Source organism: Homo sapiens, chromosome 1 (assembly GCF_000001405.40).
Source record: "Homo sapiens chromosome 1, GRCh38.p14 Primary Assembly".
NCBI lineage: Eukaryota > Metazoa > Chordata > Mammalia > Primates > Hominidae > Homo > Homo sapiens.
The window spans coordinates 245,654,305-245,676,715 of NC_000001.11; the positions used below are offsets into that span (position 1 = coordinate 245,654,305).

At 42.5% G+C, this 22,411-nt stretch overlaps 1 protein-coding gene and 1 long non-coding RNA gene across 2 annotated transcripts in view; one reads left to right on the forward strand and one right to left on the reverse strand.

The window, feature by feature from the left end:
• KIF26B (kinesin family member 26B) overlaps positions 1–22,411 on the forward strand; it is a 554,448-nt gene that overhangs the window by 499,320 nt on the left and 32,717 nt on the right. The gene's annotated exons all lie outside the window — the stretch shown is intronic.
• The window catches only part of LOC105373265 (uncharacterized), a 32,746-nt gene continuing 22,193 nt past the window's right edge, over positions 11,859–22,411 (reverse strand). Inside the window, exons 5-6 of the long non-coding RNA XR_007066988.1 lie at positions 19,388–19,601; positions 11,859–13,491 (exon numbers count right to left, since the gene is read on the reverse strand). This is a non-coding gene — a long non-coding RNA (uncharacterized LOC105373265). The remainder of the gene's footprint in view (positions 13,492–19,387; positions 19,602–22,411) is intronic.

The following is a 22,411-nucleotide window of genomic DNA, read 5'->3' on the forward strand; positions in this document are numbered from 1 at the left end:
ATGAGGGGTGGGGAGGGGGCAAAAAATAAAATTAAAAAGAATGTAACAAGCAACGAGACGCTCCTGACTTTGAACCTGTGTGCAGGGCTCCGGGTAGATTAGAAGGCATCCTAACCTCAGTAAATGGCTGTCAGTGGGGCCTGACAGTCTGGGTCCCGTGTTCTGGGCACCACCAATGGAGGGTATCCTCTCAGAAAGCTTCACCCTATTTCATGAGCCTTTAATAAAATATAGCTATAATCTTTCTCGTGAAAGAGCCTGACAGTTCATGGAGCCACTTCCCACGCCGCACTGATGGGAGAAACTGCAGGACTCCACCAGGCTTTCTCTGGCTCCAGGACCCCCACGAAGGCCTCCTGATTTATCTGGGGCAGCTCCTGCATAAGAAGGGTGACCGTTTCCCACAGTGGAGAACCAGACACTGGGCACAGCCCACTTGATAAGACAGCTTCCATCTCCCGCCCCTCCTGGGTATGCAAAGGCATTCCTGAGTGAATAGGTTCAGGTCAGAGCAGGAGAGGTTATCACCCAGGCTGTGCCTTGAAGCTTTGCTGAGTACAAGAAAGGTAAGGAAGAGATAAGCAAGAGGTGAGAATGACGGCAGGGCTGGCAAGTGAGATCACGAGCTTTTCCTCAAACATCTGGCTAAGAATAGAAGCTTTGGGAAATTCCACAACTGGCAGATTAAGGTGATCAGCCTCTCAGCTGGAATTTGTGAAGTTTCTTCAGACTGAGCTCCCAGAGAAGTATGTGTGGTGGAATCGCTGTGCTTTCTAAAGAGATGGATTGCAACCTGCGCCGTTGAGCTAGTGCTGAGCTGAGGCCCGGTGAGATGGATTCTAGCACCCCTGCCACGGCTAACCTCACACACTCAGACGCTCTCCCTGAGCTTTTCATTTCTCCATCAGCAAAATCTCAATCATTCTTACTCCTCGTCCACCTCAGAAACATATTGTAGGTTCCATGGAGACGATGTCTGTGGTAGACAAAGAGACGTGCTTCAAAGGCAGAAAGGTCACTGTTTTATCATCTTTCAGAATCGTGTAACCCACGTGGTTCTGCCACCATCCTGTCTTCTGTGCATTCCTTGACTTTGAAAGTACGCATCTTTTCTTTTGACCAAGTAGATAATTACCGTCTATCGAAATGAACCCTCATGCATTTATTCAATGAGAGTTTGTGTGCCTAACACACAGCATGGCTGCCTGATACAGATACTTGGTTTAAGAGAATTCTACAGGCTCTGCACGAAAGTGAAGTCATGATGTAAGGAGGCAAAGGACTCTGCCCTCAAACAGTCCAATGGGCCTGAGAATGAGCCTGGGGTGGGGGTTCGATGCTGCTGCACCCCCAGTTGTATCTGTGTATCCCAGTGACTGGGGCGTGATTTGAATATTTAAAGATACTCCTTTTTCATACGGCCTTTAAATGCAAGCCGAGTACTTCTGCTGCACAGCCGGAGAGGTGGTATGTTTTTAATGCTGGAGTAAAACTTGTCTGTGTTGGACTTAGTGAGAGAATGGTTTTCGTTCAGAGATTGTCAAGGCCAACTTTGATATAAATTTCACTTTACATTTTACACCACACGTGATTCATAACATTTAACTCTGTCATCCATAGAACTCGGTGCTGTTCTGATCAGCAAGGTAGATTCTGGCCCAAAAGAACTGGTGGAGGAATTTAAGGAACTGGTTCTAAGCCTAATTGAGGTCACCAAACATACAGAGAAAATAATCTGAGAAATGTATAGCAGAAATCTAAGTTTTCCATTTATTCATTTACTCAAAAATACCCTACAATAAATACCAGGAATATAACAGATGATCTGCATTCTTGGGCAACTTACAGTGTAGCAGGAATACAGACACTGAGCACCGAGTAACTGATAATATACGCACATCAGCGCTGAATCGGCACTAAGGGAAGAAGGGGTCGGGTGGGGCTGAGGAATGGCACAGAGCGGTGATTCTCAAGCTCTCTCCTCCTCGAGTCCCACTCATTCTCTACTCACGCTCATCTGTGTCTTCCAAAGTTTGCCACAGTCCGTCCTCTAAATGCCTGAGTCATTCACACCTGTTCTGTCATTCCCTGCTTTGATATAGAGATGATCCAACACAAATCATGACAAACCACTAAGCCAAATGCAAGACTCTGAATCCACAGCTGAGTGTGATCTTTAATGACGACTAACCATCATATCACAAGTTGTGTCATAACCAGAAACAAAACAGCCAGAGAAGGAGGGCTTTAGGTTGGTCTGGGGACAGTACGGAGAGCCCAAGACGCCCTTGGGCACCCACAGGGGGCTGTGATTATTCAAGGATGGCTTGATTTAGGCACAATTAGGCATTGGACAGGATGGAGCATACAAATGTGTTGGGGATTAATTCATTAAAAATCTGTCTTGAGCTTTAATAGAGCTTCAGTCAGAGTGTCCAACCATAAATTCTCACCTGTTTCACAACTGGTTCAGGCCCAATTGAGCATTAACAGATTTTTTTTTTTGTTCATGCAAATGAGGTTTTGTGTGTAATTCATTCATTCATTTCATTTATTTCATGTCTAATTGAACAATTTTTGAATAGTTACATTTGTGGAGTAGTTAAGTTGTATCAAATTGTCTAATGTACCTAGTAATTTTGTAACTAAAACAGAGCTGAATTTCATTTTGATATAACAAAAGGAGAACCACAGAAGTAGAGGTGGTTTGAGGAATAGTCGGCTTTTAAGAGACTTTATGATACTCTGTTCTTTAGGGCAATGACCACAGTTGCTGTTTCTTTTTATCCTCACTTTTCTTTCTTTTCACTCCCTACCGATGAGATCAATGAAAATTTGGGGGGCATTTCTAGATTTGGCAGCCTCCCATTTATAAGCATACATTTTTTTAGTTTTGTGCCCTGACATGCCCATTTTTCTGAGGGTCAAATGTGTCTGTCTTTAAAACACCGCGTTGGTGTCTTTCAAACCACTTATCAAGGGTTGTTTCTCCCACGAGACCTTGTCACCCCTGAGCCTGAAATCGCGCGCTGAGAACTAATTGCAGTAGCTGCATACACACAGTGAACAAAGTTCACTGCTCCCTTCATTAAGGGCACCTGCCATATCCACTGTTTCCTTCCGAGAACTCTTTTGGTGAAGACGGGATTTTTGTTTTCTTTACATTCCACATAGCTGCCAGAAGGCCCCTTTAAAATGCAAATCTGATGTCTCTCAGTCTTTAAAACCTTCAGTGGCTTCCTGTTGGCTACAGGATAGTTGAAACCCTTTTGTGGCCTATGGAGCTCTTCCGAATTTGGGCCACACCTACCTTTCTGACCATAGAAACTACATAGAGATGACTGAACACCCCACCCCACCCCCACAGTCACATGCTTTGCCGATGCCGATTCTTCTGCTTCCAGCGGCTGTTCATTCACTCACTCATTCATTCATTCAATCAATAGTTACCAAGAACATACCCTACTCCAGTACTGTACTGGAGCTCCTCCTCCATTTGTGAGATTCTTCTTATGTCTTTGACATGTTTTGATTGTAAGATGTGTTGCATATGCAGATGTAGAAACACACCTACTCAGTCTATAGAATGACAAAAAATCTGTGTGCCCACCACCCAGGTTAGGAAATAGAACATTCCACTAGCTCAGGTGCCCTTGTGTGATCGTCTGCCTTCCGTCACCCTCCTGCCTGTTCCAGCGGTGACCACAGTGCTGAATTTTCTGGTTTTGATCCCCTTGCTTGTCTTATAGGTTTTACCACCTAAGTATGTGTCCCCCCAAAACATACTGTTTAGTTTTGTCTGCTGTTGAACGTTACGTAAATGAAATCATACTCTATTCTATGCCCTTCCGTACCTTCTTTTGATCAGTATTTCATTTTTGAGATCCATCTTGATGCGCACAGCTACAGGTTCTTAATCTTCATTGCTGTACGATTTTTCCATTGTAGATGGATATTGCAAAATATTCTTCTGTGGGTGGATTTCTAACAAGTTTTTAAAAACTGATTGTTGAAGTTAATCGAACCTATTTCTGCTCTAATGAGATGCTCACTTGGTTCCTCCATTAATCATTTAATATGGTCAATTACATTGTGAGTTTTCTTTTCTTTTTGAGACAGGGTGTCACTCCGTCACCCAGACTGGAACGCAGTGACACCAACAAGGCTCGCTGCACTCCCAGGCTCAAGTGATCCTCCCACCTCAGCCTCCCATGTAGCTGGGACTACAGGTGTGCACCACCATGCCTGGCTAATAGTTTATATTTTTTGTAGAGACGGGGTTTTACCATGTTGCCCAGGCTGGCTTTGAAATCCTGAGCTCAAGCAATCCTCCTGCCTTGGCCTCCCAAAGTGCTGGGATTACAGGTGGGAGCCACTGTACCCAGCCAATCAGTTTTCCATTAATAATACTAAAAATTCTTGGATTCCTTCCTACTTATTCTTTGAGGCTTATCTCAAATATCATCTCCCCTCTCAAGCCTTCTCTGATCTCCTTTCCCCCCTCCTAATTCTTTGCTCCAGGAAAGTTGTTTCCATCTTCCAACTCAATGGCATTAAAATGGTATTTTAATGTAGGCACTTATATTTTAAATATTTGTTTACATATACCTCTCCTATCATATGAGCTCATCTAGATAATGATAGAGGGCACATGCAGTGGCTCACACTTGTAATCCCAGCACTTCAGGAAGCCAAGGCAGGAGGATCACTTGGGCCCAAGTTCAAGACCAGCCTGGGCAACATAGTGAGACTCCATCTGTACAAAAAAAAAATTTAAAAGTATAGTAGCCATGCATAGTGGCGTGTGCCTGTAGTCCCAGCTACTCGGCAGGCTGAGGTGGGAGGATTGCGTGAGCCTGGGAGGTTGAGGCTGCAGTCAGCTATGATCATGCCACTACACCCCAGCCTGGGCAACAGAGCAAGACCCTGTCTCAAAAAAATAATAATGATGGAATCTTGTTCTTCAGCTTCCTTACGATTTTGCACTAATCTGAATGAAACCAGCCTGATCTAAACCTTGCATCTTTAGTGACAGATATGAGTCTGACACCCACCTTCAACTTTGTGGTAGCCTGCCCAGCTTCCCAGAGGACACCTTTGTGCCCGCAGGCTTCCTGTGGCCATCGGATCCCCAATCTAAACTAGGATAAAGTATATGTTTTGTGGTATTGTCACCTGTTTAGGATGAGAAGAGGCACTGAAGCTATAACCCTATTTTCTGAGCCAGATAAAATAGCAAACATATATTTGCTCTACCGGGTTATTTTGACAAATTTATCAAGCATCTTCAAAATATACAGTACTAGTCTAAGCATTAGGGCTAATGCAGAGAGCTTTTGCACCAGTAGGACAGAGGAAAAAATGTGCACAAATTAGAGTACAAGGCATAAAGCAGTTAAAAGTCACATTATCAAGTACATTCAAGGAAAGAGGTAAGCAGTTCCAGCAAGTAGGCCGGGCGCGGTGGCTCACACCTGTAATCCCAGCACTTTGAGAGCCCAAGGAGGGCGGATCATTTGAGGTGAGGAGTTTAAGACCAGACTGACCAACATGGCAAAACCCAATATCTACTAAAAATACAAGAAAAAAAAAAAAAAGCCAGGCGTGGTGGAACATGCCTGTAATCTCAGCTACTCAGGAGCCTGAGGCAGGCGAATCGCTTGAACCCCGGGAGGTGGAGGTTGCAGTGAGCCGAGATCACGCCATTGCACTCCAGCCTGGGCAACAGGGCGAGACTCCATCTCAGAAAAAAAAAGTTCCAGCAAGTCAGCTGTGAATATTTTTTCTATGGCAATAATAATAAACACAAGATGCAGGTATAGATTCCTATTTATGACTACAACTCTCCACATGTCTAGAATTTGGTGGAAGCAAATAGGTCTTAGAATTTACCCCAAAGCTTGAATTACTGAAACTGCCTGTTAGTAATAGTCATTTATCACATGGATTTGGCGCTGGTGTCGTGAGGATCTAAGTACAGGGAAGTTCTGGGCATGTTCATTTGCCATTTATTAATTTCTGTTCTTTGCTATTTTTTGGGGGGGCGGGTAGGGGAGACAAAGGTCTTGTCACCCAGGCTAGAATGCAGTGATGTGGTCATAGCTCACTGCAGCCTTGATCTCCCGGGCTCAACAGCGATCCTCCCACCTCAGCATCCTGAGTAGCTGGGACTACAGGTGTGCACCACCATGCCTGGTTAATTTTTAAAAATTTTTTTCTAGAGCCAGGGTCTCACTGTGTTGCCCAGGCTGGTCTTGAATTCCTGAGCTCAAGTGATCCTCCCATCTTGGCCTCCCAAAGTGCTGGGATTACAGGCATGAGCCACCGCACCCAGCCCTACTTTGCCATTCTTTATTTCTCATCTTAAGGTGGCTACTTAGCTTGGCAGTTTCCCCTTCTTGTTCTGTAAGCACCTACGTTGCTCTCTAAGTACTGCTTTGTCTGTATCCTCAAGTTCTGGTAATGACAGGTATTTTCACTATCATTCACTCAAAATATTTTCCATTTCTCATTGTAATTATCATTTTTTGAGACGGGGTCTCATTCTGTCACTGAAGCTGGAGTGTAGTGGTGCGATCTTGGCTCACTGCAGCCTTGACCTGCTGGGCTCAAGCAATCCACCTGCCTCAACCTCCTGTAGCTGGGACTACAGGCGTGTGCCACCATCCCTGGCTTTTCTTTTTTCTTTTTTTTTTTTTTGGAGACAGAGTCTCACTCTGTTGTCCGGGCTGGAGTGCAGTGGCATGATCTTGGCTCACTGCAACCTCTGTCTTCTGGGTTCAAGTGATTCTCCTGCCTCAGCCCCCCGAGTAGCCGGGATTATTTGCGCCTGCCACCATGCCCAGCTAATTTTTGTATTTTTAGTAGAGATGGGGTTTTGCATGTTGCCAGGCTGGTCTCAAACTCCTGGCCTCCAGTGATCCACTCCCTGCCTCAGCCTCCCAAAGTGCTGGAATTACAGGTGTGAGCCACTGCGCCTGGCCCATTTTAATTATTTTGTGATCCGTGGGTTATTTAGAAATGTATTTACTAATCGCCACAGTTACTTGGAATTTGTTCCTTTTGAGCCTTTTAAGCCTTGCAAAGGCAGGTGCAGCACAGCCTAGGGCTGCTTTGATCCCACTGTTAGCGCAGTAACCTTCTGAGGACGCTGAGGAATGATTTACATACACTCACATATATATGTACACCCATTATATACACCATATATATTATATACAATATACACACATACCCAATATGTATATACACCCAATGTTATATATATATATACACACCCCCAATATATATATACACCCAATGATATATATATACACACACACCCAATATATATATACACCCAATGTTATATATAGACACACACACTCAATATATATATATACACCCAATGTTATACATATATACACACACACCACCAATATATATACACCCAGTGTTATATATACACACACCCTATATGTATACACCCAATGATATATATACACATACACACACACAATATATATACACCCAATGATATATATATTACACACACCATATATATATATACACCCTATGATATACATACACACATACCCCCATATATATACACCCAATGATATACATACACACACTCAATATATATATACACCCAATGATGTATACATACACACACCCCATATATATATATACTCAATGACATAAATAATATGCACACCCAATATATATACACCCAATGATATATATATTACACACACCCTATGATATACATACACACATACCCCCATATATATACACCCAATGATATACATACACACACTCAATATATATATATACCCAATGATATATACATACACACACCCCATATATATATACCCAATGACATAATACACACACCCAATATATATATACCCAATGATATATATAATATACACACACTATATAGATACACCCAATGATATATCTATACACACACACACCCAATATATATACACCCAATGATATATATACTCACACACACCCTATATATATTTACACACCTAATGATATATACACACACACCCTATATATATATACACCCAGTGATATATACACACACACCATATATATATACACACACATACACCCAGTGATATATACATACACATACCCGATATATATATATATATATATACACCCCATGATACATATATACACACACCCAATATATATATATGTACACCCAATGATATATATACACACACCCCCAATATATATACACACCCAATGATATATATATACACACACCCTATATATATATACACCCAATGATATATACACAGACACCCAATATATATACACACCCAGTGATATATACACACACACACATCCAATACATACATATACCCAATGATACATATATATACAATATATATATAAACCCAATGATACATATACACACACACCCAATATGCATATATACCCAATGATATATATACACACACACACACACATGCATGCCCTGGGTATAAACAGATCTCCTCACTCTGTCTGCTTGAACACAGACTTCCAATCCCTTCTTGGCTTCAAGGATTATTCCAACTCTCCTTTCTGTGGCCTTGCTTGTTTTTTTGTACACATGTGGATTAGAGCTCAACCAGAGGGCTCCAGAGAGCTCTTGCTTGCTCTCAGGTCACCTCTGTCTTTTTTTTTTTTTCTCTCTTATTCTCTTTCCCCTCTTCTATCTCTCCAATTCTTGCTTTGTATCTCTCTCCATTCTTCCCTTCTGCTATTTTGTCCTACAAATTTTAGCTGCCCTGATCTCCCCAAAGTCTGGACTTTTCCTTGTTCAGAAGGATGTGGCTGCCTGGCTCTGCTTGGGTCCCCTGTCGTGTTTGGGGGCCTGGAACCTCTCTCCTGGCAGTAAGCTGGGGCACTTACAAGGCTCAGCTCATCTTTTCCCCTTCTCTCAGACATGACTTTCCTCTGCTGCTTGTTACCCAGTATCAGAAACCCATTTTTTTTTTCTTATAGTTTGTTTGGTTTTCTAGTTGCTTAAGGTTGGAGGGTAAATCCAGTTTCTATTTTTCAAACATGGCCAGAAGCAGAAATTTTGTCATTTGTGATCATTTTTTTTTGTTTATTTCTTTAAACAGTTTAATTGTCTCTAACATGTTAATCAACTTTTTGTTGTTTATTTGTGATCTAGGTTTGAACATCTCATTCTTGCATCTGTGGTTTCTGCTGGCTCTTTCTCATGGTGCCGTGTTTCTTTGTTTATTTGTGTCTGGGGGCTACTCATTTTCACTGGCATTTTATTTGTGAGAATTCTGCAAGCTCTGGGATAAAGATAGTTTACTCCAGACAGCATTTGTGTTTACTTCTACCAGGTGCCAGTTGAGGATAGTCTAAACTACATTCTCAGCTTGAAATATTTTTGACCACCCAGATATGGAGAACTAAGCGTGCAAACCTGCATGTAATTCAGACCAGGGTTCGCAATTCTCAGGACAGTTTCTTTCCCCTCTGCTCAGTGCTTATTTCAAGACAGTCATGTCTTGAATACCTACAAGGGACAATTATTGGGGGTTGATTTTCCTGTGAAAATTCACATGTGGAGCAGGCCTCCAGCTTTGACTGCTGCCACATAAAACTCAGCAGGGTGTTACCTGGCTGGGCAGATGTCTTTGGGGTGAAAGAAAGCTTGCCTGTTCTGCTTATTTATCTTGAGTTCCCAACTTCACTTGCTTTTTTTTGGCCTGAGGATTCTTTACCTTTTTGCAGGTTCAACAATGCATTTACTAAGACTTAAAAATAATATCCACGGCCGGGCATGGTGGCTCACGCCTGTAATCCCAGCATTTTAGGAGGCCGAGGCAGGCAGATCACCTGAGGTCGGGAGTTCAAGACCAGCCTGACCAACATGGAGAAACCCTGTCTCGAGTAAAAATACAACATTAGCCGGGCATGGTGGCGGGCGCCTGTAATCCCAGCAACTGAGGCAGGAGAATCGCTTGAACCCGGGAGGTGGAGGTTGCAGTGAGCCGAGATCACGCCATTGCACTCCAGCCTTGGCAACAAGAGTGAAACTCCATCTCAAAAAAAAAAAAAATCCACAACATTTAACTGTACTTGGTAAGAAGGTTTTCCTAGGAACCCAGCCTATCATATTGCTCCTTTGCTTTTTTTTTTCTCCTGTTACACACCTCTCCTTCTTTTAAATAAGTAAGGAGATCATATAACTTATTATCGAAGCCACTTTTGAGAGTGAAAAGGGACACTTAATTATTATTATTTCATGTTTTGAAATATTTTCTGACACAGCCGTCTATATTGGTGAACCTATAAAACAGTTCTATTCAAAAATTACTTTCAAACATGAAATGCTTTCTTAATAAAAGAAAATACATCAAAGTAGAAAAAGGTTAAAACTGCTTTATATTGTTTATCTGGACATTAAAAAATAAGCAGAATAATCACTTAATATACTTTTGTGTATTTTAATCATTGTCTTCACTATCTTCTAATACCACTTCAGTAGTATTTTTCTTAACACTATTTTTTCTATTGTTAATGTCAGGGCGTTTTTCTCCTTCACATAATCCAACTGCCTTACCTATATATTTACATATATGTTTATGTGCATTAACACATCAAACCATCTGTTTTTGATAACTGTGGCTTCTGTTTCTCTTGATAGAATATCACAGTTTGTTTAAAAATAAGTGTGAATTTATTCATACAACCACCAATTACAAGTTTATTTCAGTGAAATACATTTCTCAATTCAGTGAGAATATTGTGTGTTAAAGTTTCAAAGGATCTTCCCACAAGTCAATTTCCAGAGCATACTTGTAGAATTTCACATTTTAATCTTCTATACAGTTTGAGCTCTTGTCATCTATATTTCAGGGTCCCCTGTTTGCAAATTTTGTTTTTAATCATTGCAATTCATTACAGGCTTCAGAGGCTGAGCTTTTTGTGTTTCATTGGTTGAACACTTGATTATGGATTACAACTTATTTTGAACCACAAGCCATCAAAATTTAGATGACTTGTTTCCAAAACTGGAGTACTTTTTTTGTAGAGCATTTGGATTGACTCATGAAGTATGTTTTAAAGTTAAAAGCTGCCTAATGTCAGCAATTTCCTATCATTTCATTATTTCAAGTGTCAAATATTTCTCAAATCCAACTTGACAGGCAGCAAAGAGAGAACCGCACACTCTACTGATGAAATGTTTTTAATCCAATTTAAACTTCATAAAAAATTTTTGTAGTTCAGTTACTCTCAGTTTATGTAAATTTTACACATTTCAAAAACTATAGCTTGTGCTTCTCTGGGTAGAATTAGAACTGTGTTTGAGCTCAGTTATGAATTACATAGGTACATCAATTACAGGTACATTTCAGCATAATAAGTTTCTCAGCTTGGAACATTATATCTTTTTTTTATTTTTTATTTTTTTTGAGACTGAGTCTTTCTCCATCACCCAGGACTGCAACCTCCGCTTCCCGAGTTCAAGTGATCCTCCTGCCTCAGCCTCCCAAGTAGCTGGGACTACAGGCACGCACCACCATGCCCAGCTAATTTTTGTATTTTTGGTAGAGCTGGGGTTTCACCATGTTGCCCAGGCTGGTCTCAAACTCCTGACCTCCAGTGATCCACCCGCGGTCAGCCTCCCAAAGTCCTGGCATTACAGGCATGAGCCACTGCTCCTGGCTGGAACATTATGTCCTTTTTTTTTTTTTTTTTTTTGAGACGGAGTCTCTCTCTGTCGCCCAGGCTGGAGTGCAGTGGTGCAATCTCAGCTCACTGCACCTCTGCCTCCTGGGTTTAAGCAATTCTCCTCCCTCAGCCTCCCAAGTGGCTGGGATTACAGGCAGGTGCCACCACACTTGGCTAATTTTTTTTGTTTTTAGTATAGATGGGGTTTCACCATATTGGCCAGGCTGGTCTTGAACTCCTGACATTATGTCTTAAAGTGCTAACTCTGTTCACTGCACATAACCTCATATGTTCCTAGATGAGACCACTGAAATAGAAAGTGAAAGTCTATCCAATTCTTCCATCTCATTTTAATAAGTCTTAGTAATAACTACTTGTATTTTGAATAAAGAAATGAAAAATCCAGGACAAAATAAACCAGACAGGATGCAGGGTGATAGGCATACACTGAGACTTCTAGGCAAGTGAGCAACTGGTCAGCCGAATTAAAGCCCTTGGAGGGGTTCCTGTACCCTAGGTTCTTAATACATGCTTGTTGAATGAACAATCGGAGGTAGCTTATTTGTTTGAATAAGGCTTTCTGTGTGTTACTGCAAAGGAATGAGGATGGGACAGGTTTAGGCTTTGTAACAAGACCTCCCAAAGGCTAACACATAGGCGGCTGCTTCCTCGGCAAGCAGAGATGACGCTTGTGGCCCTTTTTGAAACACCTTTTTTACATGCCAGAGGTATTTAACTTGTCCGTACCAAATGGTACGGACAAGTTAAAAGGGTTATCCGCCCTTTTAACTCAAATATCCCGTTGGGATCAAACATTTTTGCTCTGGAGACCTTTGTACCTGTGCAGCATCAGTATAAGGATAGCCTGGGGGTGGTAACCCAGACACAGCTAACAGCGGGGTCTGAGTGGCTTGGCCAGAGTCTTGGCCTCAAATTGAGGGCACAGCAGTGGTTCTGACTGTTCCTCTTCGGGGAACGTTGTACATCAGGAGGGGCCTGATGGTAATGTTGGTGTAAAATGTCTCTGCTGTGATCCACCCTTGAAGACTGTGAGCTGTGCAGAACGAAGCAGGTCATGGCTTGTCCTCTAGGATGTGATGGGAGGCTGAAAGCATCTCTCTGCTGTGACGTAGGAGGGACCGTGAGCCTTATGCTAGGCACTCCTTCCAGCCCAAGGCAGCATCGTCTACTTTGGTTTTCTTTCTTTCTTTTTTTGAAACACTCTGCCCAGGCTGGAGTGCAGTGGCACGATCTCGGCTCACTGCAGCCTTAAGCTCCTGGGCTCAAGCTATCCTCCTGACTCAGCCTCCCAAGTAGCTGGGACAACAGGCGTGTGCCACCATGCCCGGCTACTTTTTTAAATATTTTTAATAGAGATGGGGTTTCGCCATGTGTCCCAGGCTGGTCTCAAACTCCTGGATTCAGACAATCTGCCTGCCTCGGCCTCCCAAAGTGCTGGGATTACAGGCGTGAGCCACCGTGCCTGGCCTGCTTTGGTTTTATTCTGACTGTGGCTCCTAGGAAGAAAAAGAAAAGATGATGCTTTGGAAGCTGTAGGGTTGGGAAGCTGGAGACTTCTTGTGATGGAGAGGTACACCCAGTAGATACTTATTTAAATACTTATAGAAAGACGACTTTATGCCGGACACTGTGTTAGGTCCTGGCTATACAGGAAGAAGAGAAGTGGCATCTGCCCATCCTACGCAGTTCTCCAGGAAGGAGGTGGCAGGAGTGACATTTGGGCCATCCAGGCAACTCACCAAGTCCCTTCGCAGCACTCCTGAAAAGCTCTGAGATGTTTTGAAGCTAAAACAGACAAACAAAAGGGACCAAAGAGGTGGCATGAGTAGCATGAGTCAGATGTGATTAATTCCTAATTCCTTAGCTGCTTCTGTTTGTTTGTTTTGTTTTGTGTTTTTGAGATGGAGTCTCACTCTGTCACCCAGGCTGGAGTGCAGTGCAGTGGCGCAATCTCAGCTCACTGCAACTTCCACCTCCCAGGTTCAAGCGATTCTCCTGCCTCAGCCTCCCAGGTAACTGGGATTACAGGCACACGCCACCACGCTTGGCTAATTTTTGTATTTTTAGTAGAGACGGGGTTTCACCATGTTGGTCAGGCTGGTCTTAAACTCCTGACCTCAAGTGATCAGCCTGCCTCGGCCTCCCAAAGTGCTGGGTTTACAGATGTGAGCCACCAAGCCCGGCCCCCTATTTCCTTATCTTCTTATCCGCAGCAGGACTTTGAGAAACGGCTCAGTTAGGGTCTTGCAGGGATAACAGTGATTAGAGCCTGAACACAAACTACATTTATCCCATGTCAGAAATGAATAGCTTATCAAACGTACCAACTTAAAAGATGCAAGAATTGTGCAACAATAGCTACCTTCTTTTCAAACAAAATAAACATCACTAAAAAACTCTAATCTTAATTCTTTTTCAAGAAATGGATAATTCCTCCACATCATTCTCCTTTAAAATTTTGTAGATTCTCCCTTAAGTTACTTAATGTATGAGTTGTGGCTTCTGTGTAACGTCTTTTCTCAGGCTTGTATTGGTAATGGAAAGCATTCTTCAGCTTAATTTCCTTTTAATTCCTTCCAATTACTATGCACTGTTCTTTGTGCCAAGTGCCAGTCCAGTTATCCAGTTGGTGCATTTTGTGAGAACTGTAGGATCATGGAGATCATGTTTCTTTTCTTTTCTTTTCTTTTCTTTTTTTGAGACAGCGTCTTGCTCTGTCACCAGGCTGGAGTGCAGTGGCACAATCTTGGCTTACCGCAACCTCTGCTTCCTGGGTTCAAGTGATTCTTCTGCCTCAGCCTCCCAAGTAGCTGGGATTACAGGCACGCACCACCATGCCTGGCTAATTTTTTGTAGTTTTAGTAGAGATGGGGTTTCGCCATGTTGGCCAGGCTGGTCGCGAACTCCCGACCTCAGGTGATCCGCCTGCCTCAGATCACCCAAAGTGCTGGGATTACAGGCATGAGCCACTGTGCCTGGCCAGGATCATGTTTCTTTAAACCACACATGATACCCAGAAGGCATCATAATAGAGTTGGCTTCATCATCTTCCTTATCCTAGGTTATGCTTGATTTCAAAAGAAATTTGTTCCTCGACAATACACAGAAAATGCACTTAACAATAGCCCCTGAAGTTTTCCCCAGCCAATGACTGGTTAGCAGTCTAATAAGGATCATATTGGACAAGTATCTTTAACACAAAACAGCACAGGGAATCATGGGCCACTCTCATCGTTAGGCTCTCTTCACAGGTATAGCCTATGTTAGAAGGCTTCTGAACCACAGATGCTAAAGAAAAATTAGTTAAACTGAAGACTGATGAAGTATTCCCTACAAATGAAAAGGCAATCTTATATGACAAAGGACACTATCAGGAGGTTGAAAAACAACCTATAGAATGGGAGAAAATATTTGTAAATCATATGTCTATGATTAATATCCAGAATATATAAAGAACTCCTGTAAGTCAACAACCATCACCACACCCAGTTCACAAATGGGCAGAGGAATCTTATGGACATTTCTCCAGCGGAGATATATGCACAGCCAAGGAGCACGTGAAAAGATACTCAGCATCATTAGTTGCTAGAGAAATGCAAAGCAAACCCCAAGAAGGTACCACTTCCTAGCCAGCAGGATGTAGCTATTAAAACAACAACAGAAAATCAGTGTTGGCAAGGGTGTGGAGGAATTGCAGTCCGTGTGCGTTGCTGGTGGGAATGTAAAATGGCATAGTCATTGTGGAAAGGAGTGTGGCAGTTCCTCCAAGAGTCGCATATAGAATTGTCACATGGTCCAGCAATTCCATTCCTAGGTTACCCAAAAGAATGGAAAGCAGGGGAGCTGGAGGCCATTATGCTAAGTGAAGTAACTCAGGAAGGGAAAGCCACATTCCTATGTTCTCAGGTATAAGTGGGAGCTAAGCTGAGGGTCCACAAAGGCAGAGTGGAGGAATGGACATTGGAGACTCCGAAGGGGAAAGGAGATGGAGGATTAAAACGCTACATTTTGGGTACAACATATACTACTTCGGTGACAGGTGCACCACAATCTCAGACCTCACCACTATACAGTTCATCCACGTAACCAAAAACCACTTGGACCCCTAAAGCTATTAAATAAAATAAATAAATATAAACATTCAGTAACATTATCTTTAGAAGAACACTTTTTAATAAACCTGGGCATGAAGAAAAAAGGCTGAATAATATTCCATCGTATGCGTGTGTATATCCATATATATATATATATATATATATATATATATATATGCACACACACACACAATGTATATGTCTAGTGTTACCAACTTAGTTTCCTTTCCTTCAATATTAAACGTCTCATATTTCCCCCAGACTTTTTGAGAGATAGTTGAGAAATAAAGCTGTGTAAGTTTAGAGTGTAGTATGTGATGATTTGATATATATTGTGAAATTATTAACACAAGTTAGGTGACACACCTGTCACCTGTCCTAGTTATCATTTTTTTTTGTATTGTAGTGAAATAAATGTCTCATTTAAAAAAAAAAGAATTGAAAGCAGGAAATGAAACAGATACTTGTATACCAATGCTCATAGTAGCATTAAGCATAATAGCCAAGAGGTAGGAACAACCCAATTGTTCATCCACAAATGAGGAGAGAAAATGTGGTATGTAAATATAATGGAATATACGTTTCATGGAAAAGAATGTATCTTTCAATTTTTAATTTTTGTGGGTACATAGTAGGTGAATATATCTATGGGATCCATGAGATGTTGGGATACAGACATGCAATGTGAAATAAGCACGTCATGGAGAATGGGGTATCCATCCCCTCAAGCATTTATCCTTTGAGTTACAAACAATTCAATTACACTCTTTTAGGTACTTAAAAACGTACAATTAAGTTGTTATAGTCACCCTGTTGTACTTTCAAATACTAGATCTTATTCTTTCAAAAATTGGTTGAACCTATTAACCATCCCCACATCCCCCATACTCTCCCAATACCTTTCCCAGCCTCTGGTAACCATCCTTCTACTCTCTATGCCCATGAGTTCAATTGCTTTGATTTTTAGGTCTCACAAACAAGTGAGAACATGTGATGTTTGTCTTTCTGTTCCTGGCTTATTTCACAAAATGATCTCCATTTCCATCCATGATGTTGCAAACAACAGGATCTCATTCTTTTCCATGGCTGAATAGTACTCCATTGTGTATATATACCACATTTTCTTTATCCATTCACCTGTTGATGGACATTTAGGTTGCTTCCAAATCTAATGGAATATATTATTCACTCATAAAAAGTGTGAAATTCTGATACATGCTGTTAATATAACACGGATGTACCTTGCAAGCATGTTGAGTAACATAAGCCACACCCCAAAGGACAAATATTGTATGATTCCACTTATACAAGGTACCTGGCACAGGCAAATTCATAGAGACACAAAGTAGAATGGTGGTTACCGGGGGCCGGGGGAGTAGGGAGTGGGGAGTTGTTACTTAATGGGTAGAGTTTGTTTGTTTGGGAAGGTTCTGGAGATAAAGGATGTGATGGTTGCACAACAATGTGAACGGGCGCAATGCCACTAAACTGTGCGCTTAGTTGCAAGGTTACAATAGGACATTTTATGTATATTTCACCACAATAAAAATAGGAAAAGGCAGGTGATTTCTAAGGACACAAGTCCCTTGGGGTTGCTAGTTCTGTCAGACTTTTCCCCTTGTTTTTCTGAATGACAAGGATTAGTAGTGGATGATAATGAGTGGATTCATGGATTTGAGCAGGACATGAAACAATTTCCATAGACAGAGATGAAAGGGCATTTCTGACTTGAAACCTGGGATGAGCACCGATGCAGGAGAGGCACGAAAGCTCACAGCGTGTTCAGGGCGTAGTGAATAGAGGGGTGCGTGCCCCGAGCCTGCAGAGCGGGCAGGGATGTGTAGGAAGGCACCTTCATCCTCCTCACTCAGCCTCCCAGCTCCAGGTCCAAAGCCGCCAAATCATCTTTCTTGTCACCATCACATGATAAGGGGGAGTCCTTCCAGACTGCCAGTCAATGAAGTAACACACACAGCCACGGTCATGCCAGTCTGAGCCCATCGGGCGAGCCCTGAGGGGAATAACAGTCTTGGTGGCATTGGGCAAGCCCCGAGGACTCCATCTCGGGGAATAACAGTCTTGGTGGCATCGGCGCTTCACCAGGCCTCCTGGAACCATATTCGGGATCCCCAACTGAGTGCTGGAAAGACCACTGGTCAGGAGCAGGGAGCAGGGGTGGAAGGAGGTGGCTCGTCCTGACCTTGACAATGAGAATCCTGTTTTAAGCTTCACGCTGCTGACTAAACAGAAAGGCCACGGCACAGGGACAGACGTGCGCATGAAATCACAGGAAGAAAGACATTTCACGAACAAATGCATCCTCCCAAACCAGTCTGAATCCCTCCGGACAGGGTGATGTTACCACGCAACTGGCCTGGCCTAATGAGCTGGTTTCTGTCATCCCTCCTGGAAGGTTACCCTGTAACACAAGGCGTGCCCACTGACATGCAGCCTGATGGAGCAAGGTTACACCTGTCTGCCTTTTGTGTGCACAAGATCAGAACACAGTCAAGTGAATACAAATGCAACAGCTGCTTGGGGCTCAAACTTGCATAGTCTATTTTATTTGGATAGAGAGCATAAAATTGGCTCTACCAAAGTCTGGAGGCTGGAAGTAATCATAATTGTAATCTAGTATAATTACCAAGCCTAGACCTTTACCTAGTCCTATTTAACCTCCCTTTCACCTTTCCAAGGAATGTGGAGGGATAAGAGAGTCACTGAATAAGTTGGTTGGTAATACTGTATTGTATCTCTCAAATCCATTGTTTTTTTTTAAAGAATGAGATCAATAAATATAAATTCCAATATTTTCTTCCCCAAAGCACCATCTTGTACCGCTTTGGAGAACATTAGAGGGACTCACCTGGGTTTCCAGAGCTGGAAAACATAAGCCCCATAATGCACCCAGTCCCCACGGCGCGCTGCCATCTTAGGCCCAGTCCCCACTGCACGCTGTCATCTTAGGCCCAGTCCCCGCTGGGCGCTGCCATCTTAGGCCCAGTCCCCGCTGCGCGCTGCCATCTTAGGCCCAGTCCCCGCTGCGCGCTGCCATATTAGGCCCAGTCCCCGCTGCGCGCTGCCATCTTAGGCCCAGTCCCCGCTGCGCGCTGCCATCTTGGGCCCAGTCCCCGAGGCCCAGTCCCCGCTGGGCGCTGCCATCTTAGGCCCAGTCCCCGCTGGGCGCTGCCATCTTAGGCCCAGTCCCCGCTGCGCGCTGCCATCTTAGGCCCAGTCCCCGCTGCGCGCTGCCATCTTAGGCCCAGTCCCCGCTGCGCGCTGCCATCTTAGGCCCAGTCCCCGCTGCGCGCTGCCATCTTAGGCCCAGTCCCCGCTGCGCGCTGCCATCTTAGGGTTTTGCTTAGGGGGCAGATAGAAAATAGTAAATGAAACCCTTTCAGATATTTCCTGGCCTTATTTAGTAAACACGTCTTTTTGAAAGAACTCTGAATACACCTGCAGATTTTTCAAAGCCCAGATTCTACACACTTCTAATGTCAACCTTGAAGGGAGATCGTAGATTGAATTACAGAAAGGGGTGCTGTCAAAATGCCACATCAAATATAAACTTCACATATGTTTCTTACCTGAAACACTCACTCACACTCATGGAAAAGCACAGGAATGTTCTAAAAATGCAAGTTTATCACGAAGGAGACACAGGAGGTTCAGAGACGATGAAGCGGCAAGCCGGGAGGAAAGATCTGAGAGAAGCCACCAGGCTGGGGCAGGATTTCATTATATCCAGAATTCCACTTGGGCTCTGCAGTTTCTTTCTTCCTGAGAATTATTTAAAAGTCCCTGGGGAAGGACAAGAGTAAGAAAAAATCAAGGGAGAGCCTCTGGGTTACTATGACAACATGACTCTTGACCCCTTCTCTCTCACCCAGCAGTGCCTAAGTCCCTTTTGCATTGCTGCAGAGATCTCTGGCACTGTGATTAGCACATACTCCTAAACCTGAGGATGATTTAAAGTGGAAGGAGATCAAAGTTTCTAAATAGTACAATGAGCTCATCTTGACTCAAAAGATGTGTAATGGTTATAATGCAACATAACTGAGATGTTTCCTTATCCCCCCCACCAGTAAAGCTGGTCACAGACCGTTGCAAAGGCTCTGTGAAAAATGACAGGTCTATGGAAATGTCTACTGCAAAGCACTGATAACTCAGGATAATGATTCAGGCCAAAAAAAAATTTAAAAGGAAGTGAAACTTCAGACAATGTGAAACATGTCAGAGTCGTGTTTGCATTCTAAATTGCAGTAATGATATAAACATCATTATTCCTAATCTGATCCTGCAGGTGGATCAAATACGCACACATCTATTAAAGAACAGTCTGCATGCTCAGTAAGTGCACAGGGTCTTATTACCGAATCTTTCAGCACATCTTCATTTCATCTTTAACTTCATTAGAATATGTAAGTTTTGGCAGTCTATTGATTCAGGAGAAATCTATGGATCTATTATTTTCTATTTGTCTATAAAGTCCACTAATTCACCTTCTAAGTTGTTGTTTTGGGTTTTCATCAAAGTGATGACATTCCAACTCCTGATTATGCTACATTGAATAAAAATAAATGTAGGATTTTCTCCTTTCTGACCTAGAGCTAATAAGTTGTACATATTGGCTGAGTTACTGCAAAGAAAGGGCAAAATGAAAACACAGCTCTTATAGTCAAGGTTCTTAGGATCTTATTGAGATGAGCTCCTCAGAATCAGCCAAACTTCAAACATGGAGAGCACGGCCCCCAGTCTGCCAAGTCGGCCCAAGACTACTGACACCTACTGCAAGCAATTAGGGTCCAACTACAAAGTTAGCAGAAAGAGCCCACCCAAGACCACTGTCACGTGTGACAACTGCATGTTTGGAGGGTTCCCAAAACGACCCTCAGGCTCGTAATTCTCTAGAGGGACTCACAGAATTCACGGAAAATACTCATGGCTACAATTTATTATGTTGGAAAGGAGACAGATTAAAATCAGCCAAAGGAAGAGACACATGGGGCAGAATCTAGGACGGTTTCAAAAGGGACGCTTCCATTGTCGTCAGGACACATTACATTACCTTCCCGGCATCCGTGTGTGATGGTACACGTGGAGCACTGCCAACCCAGGATGCTCACCTGAGCCTTGTATCCAGAGTTGTTACTGTGGTTTCATTACATTGGCATGATTGATTGATTGATTTCCCATGTGGTCTAACTCAGTCTCCAGGTGGACTGGTACTGTGTGACCCCAAAGCCCCTGCCCTAAATCACATGGTTGATCCTTCTCTTGCAACCAGCTTGGACCATATGACTATCAGGTATGGCCCATCCTACCCTAAGATCTTATGTGGCCAACCCTCACCATAACAAAGGCACTCCCAGTGAGTATGATGTAGTTTACCTCCCAGAAGCTCATGGAAAAGGCCACATCTATCTTTGGGAAAGGTCAAATTTTTTACTACCCAAGCCTGACCTGAGAAGTGCTAAATTGTGAGGGTGGAAAGGGGCTAGTGTGAGCTTGGATGAACGAAGTATCTGAAGAGCAATGGAAGGAACATGGAATGTTCTTAAACAACAGAACATTTTTAGGACCATAGAGTATTGGAGTTGAAAGAATTTGGGAGATTATTGCATTTCTTAATAAGAGCACTGCCATGCAGAAGTGGCCTTGTCTTGGTAACATGATAGAAGCACATGATAACTGTCTTTAAAGTGTGAGGGGCCCATGTGAGCAACAGGGATTATTTTTACCCCATATAATCCTAGAGAACAAAGCCAGTGGCCATGGGTTAGAAGTTATTAAAAAGAAGATTTAAGTTTAATAGAAGAAAGAGCTTTCTAATAATTGAGGCTATTCAGAATATTACACAGGCTGTACTGGGATATGGTAAGTTCTCCCAAGTTAAAAATATTCAAGCAGAAAGCAGATCACCTGTTACCATGGCAGTGCTTTTATTAGGAAATGCAATAATCTCCCAAATTCTTTCAAGTCTAATACTCTGTGGCCCTAAAAAGAGTTTTCAATCTTGACAGAATTGTATTCTGGAATTAGTGGACTATTTCTTTCATAAGTCATTATGTGAATTACCTTGAAAATTTCTAATATCGTACCTGAGTGCCATGGCCTTGGCATGAATATACACTTCCTGAGCAGAACTTAAGAATGAGAATATCTGGAGTAATTCAGGTTCTGCTAATTCTGCATGGTTGTCACTGCGATGATGTTCATTGTTCTAGGTAAGAAGGATAAATGAGTAATAAAAGTTTCATGGGACACATATAAGTGAACTCATGTTTTATATCCACTTCAGTCATTCATTGCAAGCGAGTCTTGTTCAATGAGATCAAAGCAGATTGGTTAGGATTTTGACTTGAAACCTTCTGTTATTTATAAATTGGAGTTACATCATATATTTCTTCTAAAAGATTCTATTGAGACTGTTTGCTGTCTACAGCTGGTCTTTCTCCAGAAGTAGGTTGAATTGCCATGAATTTTATCTTATTCAGATAAATAGAATGCTGGTATCTAGGATCCAATAGATTCATGTGGCCCAAATTTCATCCAGACTTCATCCTCCTCTGTGTACAGTGGCAACTATTAAAATCATAACAGAGACTTGT